This window comes from Homo sapiens, chromosome 20 (assembly GCF_000001405.40).
Source record: "Homo sapiens chromosome 20, GRCh38.p14 Primary Assembly".
NCBI classification, from domain to species: Eukaryota; Metazoa; Chordata; class Mammalia; order Primates; family Hominidae; genus Homo; species Homo sapiens.
Window position 1 is genome coordinate 52,172,438 of NC_000020.11, and position 17,044 is coordinate 52,189,481.

The 17,044-nt window shown below is 45.5% G+C and overlaps 1 protein-coding gene across 11 annotated transcripts in view, besides 3 other annotated features; it reads right to left on the reverse strand.

The window, feature by feature from the left end:
* Positions 1–17,044, reverse strand: part of ZFP64 (ZFP64 zinc finger protein) — a 107,769-nt gene that overhangs the window by 88,427 nt on the left and 2,298 nt on the right. For 4 of the 11 annotated variants that reach the window (XM_047440285.1, XM_017027945.3, XM_017027946.3 and 1 more), the window contains exon 2: positions 14,395–14,628. In XM_047440285.1, coding sequence (XP_047296241.1) covers positions 14,395–14,628 — 234 coding nt within the window. Of the gene's footprint in view, positions 1–1,923; positions 2,043–3,489; positions 3,545–14,394; positions 14,635–17,044 lie in introns of those variants that run through there. The other 7 variants (XM_017027947.3, NM_199427.3, NM_022088.5 and 4 more) reach the window with 4 other exon arrangements.
* Positions 6,658–6,707: a silencer, noted in NCBI's record as "silent region_13043". NCBI's record gives its function as "represses an Ori minimal core promoter by ATAC-STARR-seq in GM12878 lymphoblastoid cells {active_cell/tissue: GM12878}" and the evidence as "EXISTENCE:reporter gene assay evidence [ECO:0000049][PMID:35858748]".
* Positions 7,328–7,507: an enhancer, noted in NCBI's record as "active region_18117". NCBI's record gives its function as "activates an Ori minimal core promoter by ATAC-STARR-seq in GM12878 lymphoblastoid cells {active_cell/tissue: GM12878}" and the evidence as "EXISTENCE:reporter gene assay evidence [ECO:0000049][PMID:35858748]".
* Positions 14,099–14,600: an enhancer, noted in NCBI's record as "NANOG-H3K4me1 hESC enhancer chr20:50803075-50803576 (GRCh37/hg19 assembly coordinates)". NCBI's record gives its function as "activates a minimal SCP1, AML or CMV promoter by ChIP-STARR-seq in naive H9 embryonic stem cells {active_cell/tissue: H9 hESC(naive)}" and the evidence as "EXISTENCE:reporter gene assay evidence [ECO:0000049][PMID:30033119]".

The following is a 17,044-nucleotide window of genomic DNA, read 5'->3' on the forward strand; positions in this document are numbered from 1 at the left end:
TGAGAATTCTCAGTGGACATTACGGTAACTATGCATAATAGGTTATTATTTATCTGTATTCAGGTTTGGCATAATGAGTGGCATGGGCCTTGGGGAATCTCAGAGCACCCTAGAAGAAGGTGAAACGCCCCACATCTGCTGAGGCGGGATGACTCATAACCTTGGGGGGAAGTGCTTCCAGTAGAGGCGTGACTTGCCCACGCCCCAAGAATATTCTCTAGTCCCTCTTTTCACCGAGAATGCAGCACGGGCCACCTCTTTATGTGGGGGTCTTATGTCTAACTTTTTGCAAGAGCTCAGGGCTTCAGCCTCTACCCTGGTGTGGCCATTAAAATCAAGCCTCCTGTTTAGTGAGATCAGACCCTGTCCCCGATACCCCAAGAAGCTCACAGCCTCACACACCTGCTGCAGCTTTCAGGTTTGTTTTCTGGCTCCAGGGGATTTCCCTTCTTTCCTGCATGTTCAGGTGTGCATCTGAGAATTGCTTATTGTATTTAGTTCTGGTTTGTAGCAGGGGCATATTCAGTTATTTGATCATGATGTTGTTTAAAATGTATGACTGTTATATGAATTTCATGAAATAGATAATCCACATCTATTTCTCTGAAGTTTGTCTCTGTGGAGTCTTAGGGCTCACATGAACCAACCATAGCTCCTTTTCTACCAAATTGCCTTTCAGACATCTCAAGACAGCTTTGATATCTCCCTATCTAATTTGCTTCCCCCTTCCCTTCTTCAACTTAAAAATTCCATTTAACAAATCCTTTTCTCTTTTTAAATGACAATGTTTATTTTTGCAAAATAAAAGTTAACATGAATTTTAGGATTTTCTTCTCTACACAGAAAAGTTGAGAGAAGAAAAAACTAGGCTAAGTGTAGTGGCTCATGCCTGTAATCCCAGCAATTTGGGAGGCTGAGGCAGGATGATCACTTGAGACCAGGAGTTTGAGACCAGCCTGAGCAACACAGGGAGACGCCGTCTCCACAAAACCATACAAAAAATAGCTGGGTGTGATGCTGTGTGCCTGTAGTTTCAGCTAATTGTGGGGCTGAGGTGGAAGGATGGCTTAAGCTCAGGAGTTCCAGGCTGCAGTGAGCTATGATTGCACCACTGCACTTCAGCCTGGGTGACAGAGCAAGACCGTCTCTAGAAAAACAAAACAAAAAACTTCCCAATGCTGTCAAAACATGGCAATATACATCCTTGCTTTTTTTTTTTTCTTTTTTTTTGAGACGGAGTCTGGCTCTGTTGCCAGGCTGAAGTGCAGTGGTGCAGTCTTGGCTCACAGCAACCTCCGCTACCCAGGTTCAAGTGATTCTCCTGCCTCAGCCTCCTGAGTGGCTGGGACTAAAGGTGTGCGCCACCATGCCTGGCTAATTTTTGTATTTTTAGCAGAGATGGGGGTTTCACCATGTTGGTCAGGCTCATCTTGAACTCCCGACCTCAAGTAATCTCCCTGCCTTGATCTCCAAAAGTGCTGGGATTACAGATGTGAGCCACCGGTGCCCAGCCTACATCCTTACTTTTTATACAAAGCTCCTATCGCTACTGTGATTAAATACTTATTTGAGAAATTATTAAATGACTATTCTCTCTTCTATTTGGTTGGAGGAGTTAAGTGAGGACAGACCCTTGTTTCTTTCCATTACTGTTCCCCCTGCACCCACCACAGAACCAGGTGAAGGGGAGGAGCTCAAAGAACATTTGTTTAATTAATGATCAGCTAAAGGGCTAACCTCTTTTATATATAGAAAATATATTTTAGGGCCGGGAGCGGTGGCTCACGCCTGTAATCCCAACACTTTTGGTGGCTGAGGCAGGCGGATCACCTGAGGTCGGGAGTTCGAGACCAGCCTGGCCAACATGGCAAAACTTTGTCTCTACTAAAAATACAAAAATTAGCTGGGTGTGGTGGTGGGTACCTGTAATCCCAGCTACTCGGGAGGCTGAGGCAGAATTGCTTGAACCCGGGAGGCGGAGGTTGCAGTGGGCCAAGATCGCGTCATTGCGCTCCAGCCTGGGCAACAGAGTGAGGCTCCATCTCAAAAAAAAAAAAAAAAAAAAAAGTATATTTTAAAAGTATAAAACTAGGATCATGGCTTAAATCATTTAATATATATTTTTAATGAAACACTTTTGCCATGTTAAAACATCTTATCATGTTGTCATTCATCGAAAACACAACCTCTAATGGCCACATAATATTTCATCATTTTGGTTGCTGAATAGTTTAACCATTTCCCTTTCTTGGACATGGAGGAGACATCTAGGAATTGACTTTTATGAGTAAAACCTGTCCAGAAGTTTAAATTTATCCCTCATTTCTTTGGGTACATTCCTTGAAATTGAAGACTTGGGTTAAAATGGTACAGATGTTTTATTACTTGGTGATTATATAATTATAACATCCTTTCAGAAAACTGAAATTATTTGCATTTTCCCCTTAACCTTGGCTGTCACAGAGACGACTTGAGAGGACAAAATGAGATCACTTGAGTTTAACTTGCATTTCCTTTACATGTAATTAGTGAGATTAAACTCCCTTTCAACATTTATTTTTCCAATGACATGCCTTATTTGGTGAACTTCCTGTTTATTCTATTAGCTCATTTTTTCTATTGGAATTTTAATTTTTTTCTTGATTTGTAAATGCTTTTTGCAGATTAAGGATACTATCTTTTGTTTTGTTTTGTTTTGTTTTTGAGACAGGGTCTGGCTCTATCTCCCAGGCTGGAGGGCAGTGGCACCATCTCGGCTCACTGCAATATCTGCCTCCCAGGTTCAAGTGATTCTCCTGCCTAAGCTTCCTGAGTAGCTGGGATAACAGGTATGCGCCACCACGCCCAGCTAATTTTTGTATTTTTTGTAGAGACGGGGTTTCGCCATGTTGGCCAGCCTGGTCTTGAACTCCCAGACTCAAGCGATCCTCCCTCCTTGGCCTCCCAAAGTGCTGGGAGTCCAGGCAAGCGCCACCGCGCCCAGCAGGATATTATCATATATTCAGGTCTCTTGATTTTTTTGTGTATGTTGTTTTTTGCAGTGTCGTTCATGCTTAGGATTCTCATTTAGGGTTCTTGATCTCCAGGCAAGTATCCCAACTGTAAACTCAGAATTCACTGTCTGAGGCCGGGCATGGCGGCTCACGCCTGTAATCCCAGCACTGTGGGAGCCCGAGGCGGTCGGATCCCTTGAGGCCAGGAGTTTGAGACCAGCCTGGCCAACATGGTGAAACCCTGTCTCTGCTACAATACAAAAATTAGCCGGACGTGGTGGTGGGCGCCTGGAATCCCAGGCACGTGGGAGGCTGAGGCAGGAGAATCGCTTGAACCCAGGAGGCAGAGGTTGCAGTGAGCCGAGATCGCACTACACTCCAGCCTGGGTGGCAGAGTGAGACTCCGTTCCCTTCCCCCCGCACCCCCGCTGCCGCCCCCGCCCCCAAAATAATTCATTTTCTGAGAGAAAAGAGAAAATCCACCCCTTTCACTTACGCTGTTCCCAAACGGCCTTTACCGTCCACAGTGGGCGTTAGACCGGCCCAAATGTCCCTCCCCAGGGGTGAGTGGCGCTGCCCTGTTGGAAGCCCTGACCACGCCCCAGCTCTGCCTTTGCTGATTGGTGCAGTGGAAGACACCTGACAGCAACTGGGCCAATCGAGTCTCTTGCTCTGAAATTGAATCCTGCAGCCAGGCGTATTGGCGGCTGCCGTTAAAGTCCCAACTATGACCCAGACTGAGGTGGGAGCATCTCTGGAGCCCAAGAGTCCGAGTCCAACCTGGGCGACGTAGTGAGACCTTCCCCCCACCCGCCCAATCTCTTAAAAAAACCCAAACTGAGACTAAGACGCTCAGGTTTGGTGTGGACTTTCCTTCTGAACAAAGAAGACATAAACTTTGGGAATGGTCACAGGGCAGCAGTGCTTATCCAACCACAATCTCTCTAAAATGTGGATTCTGATCAGCAGTTCTGGGTGGGGCCGAGACTCTGCCTTCCCAGCATTTCCAACAAGCCCTTTGAGCTGTACAGTCTGGAAAACCCTAAAATATTTCTAGCTTCTGGTTCAATCTCTCTTTTTTTTTTTTTTTGAGACGGAGTCTCGCTCTGTCGCCCAGGCCGGACTGCGGACTGCAGTGGCGCAATCTCGGCTCACTGCAAGCTCCGCTTCCCGGGTTCACGCCATTCTCCTGCCTCAGCCTCCCGAGTAGCTGGGACTACAGGCGCCCGCCACCGCGCCCGGCTAATTTTTTGTATTTTTAGTAGAGACGGGGTTTCACCTTGTTAGCCAGGATGGTCTCTATCTCCTGACCTCATGATCCACCCGCCTCGGCCTCCCAAAGTGCTGGGATTACAGGCGTGAGCCACCGCGCCCGGCCGGTTCAATCTCTTTTTGAGATCCAGCTGCGTGCCTGCCTATAATTCTCCCTTATGCCTATATCCTTCTAAACAAAGTCTCCCCTCTGGCTTGAATTATAGCCAAAGTAGGGGGTCTGTTCTAAGCAAACGAACAGTCCTATATAACGGAAAATTAACTTGCCCTATACTGGGACTTCACCAAACAGGAAAAATAAACCATGGATGGAACAGAGCTTCCTCCCACATCCCACCCTACCCTCCCTCCCTCAGTGGGCCGTTCATTCATTCCTCAGATCTGTTGAGCACCTATTGTGAACTAGACTCTAGTGCCAGTGGGTTTCCATCCCTTCAACCCCTTCTGGTTGAATGGTTCTCAAATTTGATCATGCATCACAGATTCTGATGCAGAGATTTGGGGTAAAGTTTAGATATCTTTATAGCTGTATTTTAAACACATTTTCCAGGTAATTTTTTGCACAGCAGCATTTGAGAACTGCCACTCTAGTCCCTTTAACGAGGCAGTGGTAGGAACGTGGCCCTGCGGAGGGGACTTGGGATTGGGTTCCACTGGTAGGCCCCTTCTCCTTGTCCCTTGGCAGCCTAACTGCCTCCACTACAGTGCAACTGGGCAAAGCCATGTGTCCCAGTTTTGGCCAGCAGGATCTGGAGTTTTGGGAGTTCATCAGGGAGCATTTCCTCCCTGATACATTTAATTTGCTCCTTTCCCTGCTTGTGGGTGTGCCTGAGAGATCTGATGCCCAAGGCATTAGCCGCCACCATGCGGCCATGCGGAGGACGCGAGGGCAAAGGATAAAAGCCCACCACCGAGAACAGGAGGAAGACGGAAAGAACTCCGCACCTTTGAGCTGCCGAACTGACCTTGCCTGTTCTGGCTATGAGAGATAATATGTGTCTTTAACTGTTGTGCACACTTTTAGTTTGCTGTTGTTAAGAGCAACAGAGGCCGGGCGTGGTTGCTGACGCCTGTAATCCCAACACTTTGGGAGGCTGAGGCGGGCAGATCACGAGGTCAGGAGTTGGAGACCAGCCTGACCAACATGGTGAAACCCCGTCACTACTAAAAAATACAAAAATTAGCTGGGTGTGGCAGTGGGTGCCTGTAATCCCAGCTACTGAGGAGGCTGAGGCAGGAGAATCACTTGAACCTAGGAGGCAGAGGTTGCAGTGAGCCGAGATTGCACCACTGCACTCCAGCCTGGGCGCCAGAGCAAGCCTCTGTCTCAAAAAAAAAAAAAAAGAAAGAAAGAAAAAAGAAAAAAAAGAGCAACCGAAAGCATCTGACCTGACCCAACCACTCCCTGGCTGGTTCAGATTCCCCGGACCTTGCTCAGACCCCCTAATATATTATCCCCAGGAAGGGTCTGGATATCTGCATTTTTCACGGAAGCTTCAGATGGTTCTTATGCACAAGCAAGTTTGAGAAACATCGCAATGAGGAATTTACTAAGTGGCAGTACTGATTAAGAGCACAGGTTTTGCAACCAGACAGCCTGGGTTTGAGACCCGGTTCTGCCACTTTCTGTCATCTGGACAAGTTATTTAACCCCTCTGTGCCTCAGTTTCATTACTGGTCAAATGGGGATAATAATTATTATTACCTAACTTTTGGTTACAAAAAACTACTTTATATAGAGTACTTAGAAAAGTGCATGGCATAGAATGAGCACTGTGTAAGAATTTGCTATTATTGTTTCCAGATCCTTCTGGCAATCACCACATAGTTTGTCTTACTAAATCACTCATGTGTTCAAGAACTTTCAATGGATCCCCAGCTCCTTCAGAATAAAGGACAGAGCTGAAGCATGACTCCCACCACGTTCCCCTGTGCCATCTCTAGCCACTGTTTTCAAATCTTGCCCTGAGCTTCCCCCACCCCCTCCAAACCACCATTAGGAAATGCCCCCTTTCCCACCGTCTTTCTCCCAAAAGCCAATGGGTCTTTCAAAGCCGGTTATACATTTGCTTTCATTCACAGTTCTCCCCCCTGACTTTCCCAGTTGGAACCAACAGTCTCTGTGAATTCTTCACACCTTTAAGACTACACTTGTCACAAACAGCTGGGCTTGAATGTCTTACAACTAAATCCTCCTCCCCTCCCCGAGGGGCTTGGAATTCTCCAAGGGCAAGCATCTCCATTATCTGAGTTCCATCATTTGCCACACAACAACCCTAAAGTGACTGATATGGTTTGGCTGTGTCCCCACCCAAATCTCATCTTGAATTGTAACTCCCACAATTCCCATGTATCATGGGAGGAACCTGGTGGGAGGTGACTGAATTATGGGGGTGGGTCTTTCCTGCACTGTTCCTTGTGATAGAGAATGAGTCTTATGAGAGCTGATGGTTTTAAAAAGGGGGGTGTCCCTGCACAAGCTCTTATCTCTTGTCTGCTGCTATTCAAGATGTGCCTTTCACCTTCTGCCATGACTGTGAGACCTCCCCAGCCATGTGGAACTGTGAGTCCAATAAACCTCTTTCTTTTGTAAACTGTTCAGTCTCTGGTATGTCTTCATCAGGAGCATGAAAACGGACTAACACAGCCACCATCACTAAGCCCTCATGATGGGGCACATGCCATACACACCATGTGCTTCAGGCATATAAACACATTTAATCCTCACAGCCACCCTTTCCTGCCCTCGTTCAATAGCTGTTTTATTGAGTGCCTATGATGTGCCAGACCTGGTGTGTTGGGTGGTGGGAAAATAAGACTGATTAGGTCTCTGCATGCAGGGAGATTTACAGTCTAGTAAACTAGAAATTGAGCAACTAATTTGGAGCTCACAGGCCAAACTGAAACTTCAGATTCTTTTTTAAGGCTTTCAAAATCAATCAGGCGGGCAGGGCCTTCCCCATGTCATTGTCCTCTGGCCAAAGACCAATAGGGACACCCCTGTCACTGAATAAGTTTATTACTCATTGCAATAAGGAAAACCTCAGAGGGTGCCAGAAATAACTTATTTTATTTTAGGTTTGGGCTCATGTTAGATGCTTTTGGAGGAGTTCAAGAAAACCTCCATCAGAGGCACCAGCAAGTGGGGCTAATTCTATGATTTGTTATTTTAAAAAATATTATCAAGAGGGAAAGAAGGCTAGACAGAGCAAGACTCAAACTTTAATAGGCAAAGAAGTAATGTCACTCAGATTAACAGAGGGGAGGAGGATGTCTGGTATTTTGTGGCTTGGACAGTGTTCCCATTTTGTCTGGGCTCACACATGATGACAGATGTGGTATTGTTTTTGTCTTGCCCACCACGGTCAGAGTGGCCTTGTCTGATGTTGGTGTTTTATGAAACTGTGAACAACTGTGTATGTTCAACAGTAGAACAGCATGGCCTACCTGTGGGCCAGCCCAGTTCCTAGCAACACCAAGACCCAGCTAATCATGGCTGCTGGCTGTCAGGGGCTGCTTTCCTCTTTCTCTGCTAGTTGGCCACAGGCCCTCTCCCTCTCTATCGTAATATGTGCTGCTGCAAACGCCACCCTTGGAATCGCATTGGAATTCACTTCTCTAATTGACTTCTTAATTTAATTCACTTCTCTAGTTCACTGCCCTTGGAATTGCATTGGAATTCACTTCTCTAATTAAAGACTAATTAGTTACAATTGTGATACATGCTAGCGGAGAAAACAGAAACCTAATTGTGGGAGTAGGGAGAAGGGGAAATCAGAGCTGGCTTCTAGGTGGAGGTGACTTTTAACCTGGGACTTAAAGAGTAGGAATTAACCAGAAATGGCAAAAAAAAAAAAAAAAAAAAAATCAATCTTGGTCAAGTGATCAATTCAATGAATATTGACTGAGGGCTTGCTATGAGCTCTGTGCTAACAATCCATGGGCTGTTTTGTTTACTTTCACAGCCCCCTGATTATGTAATGAGAGCTAACAGTGACAGCTCGAAATGGCTTCCATGTAGGAGCCCACTGAAGCCTGGCTGGAACCATCAGAGATGAGTTCTATCATCACTTTCATTTTACTATTGTGGAAATGGAAACACAGTGTAAGTAACCTGCCCAAGGTCACATGGTCAGCAAGTGGTACAGCCAGGATATGAACCCAAGCAGTCTGTCTCAGGACCCCAGACTCTTCATTACCAAACCCTGTCCCCTGTTTATTTTTTTATTTTTATTTATTTTTGAGATGGACTCTCGCTCTGTCGCCCAGGCTGGAATGCAATGGCACGATCTCCACTCACTGCAGTCTCTGCTCACTGCAACCTCCACCTCCCAGGTTCAAGCGATTCTCCTGCCTCAGCCTCCCGAGTACCTGGGATTACAGGCACCTGCCACCATGCCCGGCTAATTTTTGTATTTTTAGTAGAGATGGGGGTTTCACCACATTGGCCAGGCTGGTCTCGAACTCCTGACCTTGTGATCCACCCACTTCAGCCTCCCAAAGTGTTGGGATTACAGGCACGAGCCACCACACCCAGCCCCCTCTCTGTTTATTTTTATCCTCACTTTGAAATGAATGTAATGTAATTTGCCATGGTCATGGGGTTCCTGAGGCCTTACGCAGCCAAGATTCAAACTCAGGGACCTGACTCCAAAGCCCGGTGATTTGAAGCCATGAACTTAGAAAATGCACATGGGATATATTTCCATGAGCATCCACATGTAATTTTACAGCTCCCATATGAAAGTCCTTAAGTCACATGCCAGACAACGGGCAGCTTTCAAAGCTAGTAGGCAGATAATAAATTTTACTTTAAACCCAAGTATTATCAGGCAGAGGAGACATAGGAGAAGAGCGAGAAACGGTTTGGCTTAAGCAAGGACAAACAAGTCTGGAAAATGTCCAGATGAGGATATCTGCAGAAATCCACCATTTGGGGGGTTGGACTGTGGTCTTGAGCAGTGAATAATTCTCCAACCTGGCTGAGATCCGGAATCCCCCAGGAGCTTGTTAAAAATACAGATACCTGAGCCTCGGCTCCAGACATTCAGATTCAGGAGGTGGAGCCCGGGCACCGGTATCCTTAACAAGCTCCCAGGGGATCTTGGTCCATAGGCAGGTCTGGGAACTGCCAGTCAATGGAAACTTGAAGCACAATAGGAGGAATTGCACCCAGAAAACCAATCTAATAAGTGTAAAAAAGAAAAGAAAGCAGAATTCTGCTTGTTTAGTTGGCACAGAGGCAGGAACCATCAGGAGGAGCAGCTGAGTCAGACGGAGACAACGCAAGCTGCAGATCTCACCATCCTTTCGCCACCTGTTTATTAGACTCTACATTAATAAAAGCGATCGCTCATTGAACCCAATTTCTCCATCTCAGGCCCTTTATGTGGATTATCGCAGAATTCTCACAATAACGCAATGATGATTAGGTATTATAACCTCTTTTTACAGATGGGGACTGTTTAGTGAGAGGGAGAGTAAATGATTTGCTCACAGCCTAGGGCTGTTAGGTGGTGGATTGGGATGCGAGTCCAGCAGTCTATCTCTGAGCTTGTGGCTCCCTTCAGCACTGTGCAGGGGAGGGCTCTGTGTGCCAGGCACAAACAGGACTCCAGGACTGGCCTGAGCATTCAGGACAGTCAACAAAACTCCGGCATGGCAAGATCCAATGGTCGCAGGGCCGTGTAAATGCTAAGAGGAGGGTGAACTTCTTTGAACAAAGAAATAGAAGTGCTGGGTGCAGTGGCTCATGCCTGTAATCCCAGCACTTTGGGAGCCCAAGATGGGAGGATCATTTCAGCCCAGGAGTTCAAGACCAGCCTGTGCAACATAGCAAAACCCTATCTCTATAAATAATTTAAAAATTGGCTGGATATGGTGGCGCAGGCCTGTAGTCCCAGCTACTTGGGAGGCTGAGGTGGGAGGATTGCTTGAGCACAGAAGATCAAGGCTGCAGTGAGCCATGACTGCACTACTGAACTCCAGCCTGAGCAACAGAGCAAGACTCTGTCTCAAAAAACAAAACAAAGAAACAAGCAAAAAAACTAGGAGGACAAAAAAGGGAGCCGCTATTTGGTTGTGAGGTCAGCTTTACTGATGCATATGAGATGTGAGCAGTGTTCACACCCAAGAAATAATAAGTGCCTTGGTGCTGGGATCCAGTGGTGAACAGGAGAGGGGCTTACAGGTCAGTGATGGAGATACACCTTAAAGTCATTCCTCTATTAATCATTTAAATATGGGACATGACCTGATCTGGGAAAAGAGTGAGACGTGCAGGGAAGGGGTCTTTGAGAAAATGCCTTTAAGTCCAGCTCTGACATAAGAATTAAGGCAGTTCCAGGCAGAAGGAACAATGCAGGCAAGGTCTGAGCCTGGAGGAAATGTGGCTCATTCCAGAAACAGAAAGGAGTTCATCATGGCTGCTGCAATATAGAGGGGAGAGAAGGGGATTGTCCCCAGGAAGAATGCAGACCCTTTTTTGTGAAGATTGTCATGAAACTTAAGGCCTTGAGGTTGAGTTGGCATCAGCCAGGCCAAGGTGGGAAAGGTATTTCAGGCAAAGGAAAAAGCATCCACGAAGGCTCAGAGCCCAGAAAGAAGCAATGGCCCCAAGTAAAAAGTGTGGGCCTGGAAGCCTCCCACACGCAGGGCATCCATTTTTATATGGCTCCCATCCACTGTGAGAGGTTCTGGGATTTTGGTTTTCGAGGACAAGAAAGGAAACACTGTCCTCATGAAGAAGACCACTACGATAAGGGGCAAAACACATGTCCCAGGACTGTCCTGAAGTTCCGATGGGACCTTGGCCATGTCCCTTCCCCAAAGGCAACTTTGCTTGGTCCTGGTGCAAAATAATTAGGTCCTACCAGGCCCACTTTTAAGGGTTTTCTGGTTTTCACCTTTTCTTGGTGACTTCCTTTAAGATGGGAATGAAGATAAACTCAGGAGACAGTGGGAAGATCTCAACATACTTTTGTTAAGGTTTGTGAGGGGATCAGTTTTATTGTATTTCAAAATGTCTACTGTTTAAAAAACTCAGTAGAAACATTATTTTGGATGCATTAAGAAAAAAACCCACAAAACTTTGCTTATTGCCAAAAAAATTCAAACATCACCCTAGTAGATACCTCATAAGGGGAAAGTTGGTTTCCTTTTTATTTTTTGAAATGGAATCTCACTCACTCTGTTGCCCAGTGGGGAGTGCAGTGGCACTCTCACTGCAGCCTCTGCCTCCTGGGTTTAAGAGATTCTCGTGCCTTGGCCTCCAAAGTAGCACGGACTATAGGCGAGTGACACCATGCCTGGCCAATTTTTGTATTTTTACTAGAGATGAGTTTCACCATGTTGGCCAGGCTGGTCTTGAAATCCTGACCTCAAGTGATCCGCCTCGGTCTCCCAAAGTGCTGGGACTACAGGTGTGAGCCACTGCGCCTGGCCCTGACGTCTGATGCTCCTCACTCTTCAGCTCCAGACTATTGGGTAAACATTCTCTGAGAATAAGCTAGAAGAAACTTATGGACTCAGTCAGGCTCAGAGATGTATTGTTTGGCAACAAAGTTTTATATTTGGAAAATTTCACATTTTCAGCTTCTCTGAAAAACTGAAATATCTAACTGGCTGGATCCAAAGAACAGCTGCACTTTTGGATGAGGCATGTGTGATTTCTCTACTTCACCACAGTCCCCACCACTCTCTAACACCTCCCCCAAAGATAACTTCTCTCATTTACATTACCGCCCCATCCCTGTTCTAGAAACTTCCCTGGAATATAAGACCATATAATATGTAGGCATATGTATTTTTTTTATACTTACCTTGAGAATCTTTCTGTGACTACACACAGATCCAACTTTCCTCCTTTCCAAAGCTAAGTCATATTCCATTGTTGGAATCTTTGATATTTATTTGTTTAAATCCCTCTTTTTTATTTTATTTAAGAAACAGGGTCTCATTTGTCACCCAGGCTGGAGTGCAGTGGTACGATCATAGCTCACTGCAGCCTCAAACTCCTGGGCTCAGGCGAGCCTCCTGCCTTAGCCTCCTGAGCAGCTAGGACTACAAGTGTGTGCTATCACGCCTGGCTAATTTTTAAAATTTAATGTAGAGGTGGGGTCTTGCTATGTTGACGAGGCTGGTCTTGAACTCCTGGCCTCAAGTGATCCTCCAGCCTTGCCCTCACAAAGGGCTGGGATTACAGGTGTGAGCCACTGCACCTGGCCATACCTAACTCTCTCTTGACGTATACATACAAAGGCTCCACTTTCTCTATAGTACATGCTGTAAATGAATATCCTTGTACATTTGTTTATGAAGTTTTTTATTTTTATTTTTTTGAGACAGAGTCTCACTCTGTTGCCCAGGCTGGAGTGCAGTGGCACGATCTCAGCTCACTGCAACCTCTGCCTCCCAGGTCCAAGCAATTCTCCTGCCTTAGCCTTCCGAGTAGCTGGGATTACAGGCACGTGACACCACGCTGGGCTAGTTTTCGTATTTTTCATAGAGAAGGTGTTTTGCCATATTGGCAAGGCTGGTCATGAACTCCTCACTTCAGGTGATCCACCCGCCTCGGCCTCCGAAAGTGCTGGGATTACAGGCATGAGCCACCGTGCCTGGCCTGTTCATGAAGTTTTATAGAATGAATACCTAGCTGTAGACTTATTGGATAAATGTCTTTATGTATATTTTAAAACTAAGAAATTTTAAATTTAAGATTTGAAAGCTATCACAAAATTGCCCTGGTTATAAGAATTTATATCCCCAGAAAATGAAATCAGTGTCCTTCCTCAAGCCTTGTTTTGATTTACATTTTTGTAATTACTAAGGTGACCAAACCTCCCCTGTAAATCATCCACTGACCTTTCCACTTTGCACTTTTTTTTTTTTTTTTTTGAGACGAAGTCTGGCTCTTGTCCCCAAGGCTGGAGTGCGATGGCACGATCTCGGCTCAATGCAACCTCTGCCTCCTGGGTTCAAGCGATTCTCCTGCCTTGGTCCCCCGAGTAGCTGGGATTACAGGCGCCTGCCACCACGCCCGGCTAATTTTTGTATTTTTAGTAGAGACAGGGTTTTACCATGTTGACCAGGCTGGTGTAGAACTCCTGACCTCAGGTGATCCACCCGCCTTAGCCTCCCAAAGTGCTGGGATTACAGGCATGAGCCACCGTGTCCAGGCTCCACTTTGCACTTTTTATCTCCTTTTACTGGTTTTAGCAGTTCTTTGTATAAGAGGGATTTAGGCCTTAATCATATATGCCACAAATTTTTCCCCAAGTTGATTGTCTTTAGATTTTGCATTTTACTTCGGAAAAAGTAAAACTTCATTTGCAATCACATATATGATTCTTTTTCTTGGAGGGGGTGGTCCACAACCTGCCTCCTTTGGTAGGCATATTAATATATTTTTTAGAATCAAATGCCTTTAGCTAAGGAATACATTCTCTGTTTCCCTACAGGATCCAGTACTATCCCATAAATGGGCTACTTCATAATTTTAAAGTTATCTTCCTGCCCCTTAAGACAGGGGTATAACTGTGTGTGTAGGTGTTTGTGGGTACATTTCCTCCAGAACTTTTATGGTTTTCTTATGCACATTTAAATTTTTGACCCATCTGTAATTTATTTTTGGTGGAATGAGTGTACACAACAGAGAACAGGGATGTTTTCCTGATCAGCAGCACAAGGGGGAGGAGATACCAATGCCAGTTTATAGATTTTTTTTTTTTAACAACAACATGCTTTTTGGCCCTTTACACAAGTAATGCAAACTCAAGGATTGTACCCATACTTCCACCACCCAAAACAACCACTTTTTTTTTTATTGCAACGTATTTTCTGCCAGCCTTTTTTTTTTCCTATAGTATATAGATTTTTGTTTCAGAAATCTCTTTTTTGTCTGTTTTTTTTGTAACGTGACAACATTTATAACTGCTAACAGTTAATGTTTTAACCTAGCAGCTCCCAAACCTGGCTGGGCAGCTGGCTTCCTGGTGGAGCTTGTTAAAAATAATGAATCAGCAACCCTAGGGGGTGGGCTCTGGGAATCTATATTTTTAACAAGTTCCATGGACGTGTTTGAGACACAGCCAGGCCAATTCTGGCCGACTCCCCCATGCTCCAGCTGTACCTGTGATTGTCTGGGTCTCCGAGGTGATGGTTCTGGTGGTGGTCTGAGTCTGGGTGGCAGGCACTGTTTCCTCCGATACAAACTGGACCGTGCTGGGGGCTGCTGCGGATGTGCCTGTCAGCTGGCAGCCACTTTGCTTGTGAGCTACAAAGGCATCCAGGTTGTTAAACTGCTGCTTGCAGATGCCGCAGATATGGATGTCGGGAGTCAGCTCCACCAGCACCGTTGTGCCACCTGGAACTCCATGGGACAAAGGGAAAGTAACGGATTAATTCCAAACAGCTTTGAATTGTAATGCAGACCAGATTCATGGTAGGAAGAAAAGGCATGGTGGCAGACATGGCTGGGTAGTGGCCCAGTATCCACTCCACCTTCCTCTTCCTGCGAACTGCATCCTAATTGTGCCCTAGCAGCAAGGTATCATATTTCCACACAGAGATTTCTTGCCTTAGTTAAACTTGGGGAAAATTGGACATAATGTAAATATCTTAGAAATCTTCAGAAAATTGGCCAGGCGCGGTGGCTCATGCCTGTAATCCTGGCACTTTGGGAGGCTGAGGCGGGCGGATCACCTGAGGTCAGGAGTTCGAGACCAGCCTGGCCAACATGGTGAAATCCCGTCTCTACTAAAAATACAAAAATTAGCTGGGCATGGTGGTGTGTGCCTATAATCCTAGCTACTCAGGAGGCTGAGGCAGGAGAATCACTTGAACCCAGCAGGCAGAGGTTGCAGTGAGCTGAGATCACACCATTGCACTCCAGCCTGGGGGACAAGAGTGAAACTCTGTCTCAAAAAAAAAATAATTTTTTTTTTCAGAAAATTATGATGCATAATTTTATCCAACCACATATGCACAAAGGTAGTCTTGTATTATTTAACTTGGGGAAAATTGGAAATAATGTATAGCAACCATCCATGTGATGGTTCACGCTGCATTGTTACCCATGGGGCACTAGTGGCATTGTTTGCAAGAAAGTTCTTTTATCAAAGATAAAAGGGATGTCCTGCACTTTGCAGAACCAGCAGCCACCTCCTATCCCAACTAAAAGGTAATTGTGAAAACTGATCCTCCCGCACATTTCCAAACATACTCACCCAAAACACATACTATGAGAACCAATAGTCTAAATAATCTTGGTCCTCTACATACTTGTGAACTTCTCCAGCACACAGCTGGAGGAGTTTCTGGGAAAAGTTTGGCATTTGTGATGAAAAGGGAGCAGATGTGGCTAGCAATGTGCCCCTTTTCTTCTGGCTTTGGATGCAAATGTGATGGTGGGGCTTCTGCAGCCATCTTGTAACTATGAGAAAAATGCCAAGATCCCTATGGGCTCTGCCCTTTACTTCACTGATTTCCCTGATTCAACACTGCAATCAATCAATTCCAGATTTCATTAGGCCAGTATAATTTGGGTTTCTGCTACTTGTAGCCAAAATTCATTCCTAACTGGCAGGGACATTATTTCTTTTTCTTTCTTTTTTTTTTTTTTTTTTTTTTTTGAGACAGAGTCTTGCTCTGTCACCCAGGTTGGAGTGCAGTGGTGCGATCTCGGCTCACTGCAAGCTCTGCCTCCCGGGTTCACGCCATTCTCCTGCCCCAGCCTCCCAAGTAGCTGGGACTACAGGCACCCGCCACTACGCTCGACTAATTTTTTGTATTTTTAGTAGAGATGAGGTCTCACCTGTTAGCCAGGATGGTCTCGATCTCCTGACCTCGTGATCTGCCCGCCTCAGCCTCCCAAATCCCTCCCTGGGATTACAGGAGTGAGCCACCGCACCCGGCCGACATTATTTCTTGATACTAATCATATCAAGAATTAATACTATATTAATACCTGGAAAGCACTTAGTGTAGTATTTGGCACTGTATTAGAAGCTACTATATAAATACTTGTTCAATAAAGACATAGCGGGTAGATCATGAGGTCAGGAGAGCGAGACCATCCTGGCTAACATGGTGAAACCCCATCTCTACTAAAAATAAACAAAAAAAATTAGCCCGGCGTGGTGGCACACACCTGTAATCCCAGCTACTAGAGAGGCTGAGGCAAGAGAATTGCTTGAACCCGGAAGGCGCAGGTTGCAGTGAGCTGAGATTGTGCCACTGCACTCCAGCCTGGGCGACAGAGCGAGACTCCGTCTCACATAAAAAAAAAAAGATAACTCGTGTTTATAAGAAAATTTAGAAGAAACTTATAAAGAAGGGGAAAATCACTCAATATTTCCATCTCTGCCTACCATGAATATTATAAAATATTTTTTTCCATTCATTTTCTTTACACTTAAAAGTTGCGTAAGATGGCTCACGCCTGTAACCCAGCACTTTGGGAAGCCGAGATGGGTGGATCACAACAAGAGATCAAGACTATCCTGGCGAACATGGTGAAACCCCGTCTCTACTAAAAATACAAAAATTAGCTGGGTGTGGTGGCACGTGCCAGTAATCCCAGCTACTCAGAAGGCTGAGGCAGGAGAATTGCTTGAACCTGGGACGTGGAGGTTGCAGTGAGCCAAGATCATGCCACTGAACTTCCAGCCTGGTGACAGCGAGACTTCATCTCAAAAAAAAAAAAAATTGCATAAGATCATAATATTGTAAATATTCAGATCATAGTATTGTAAAACTAATCCTTTTCCTAATTTTTTTCC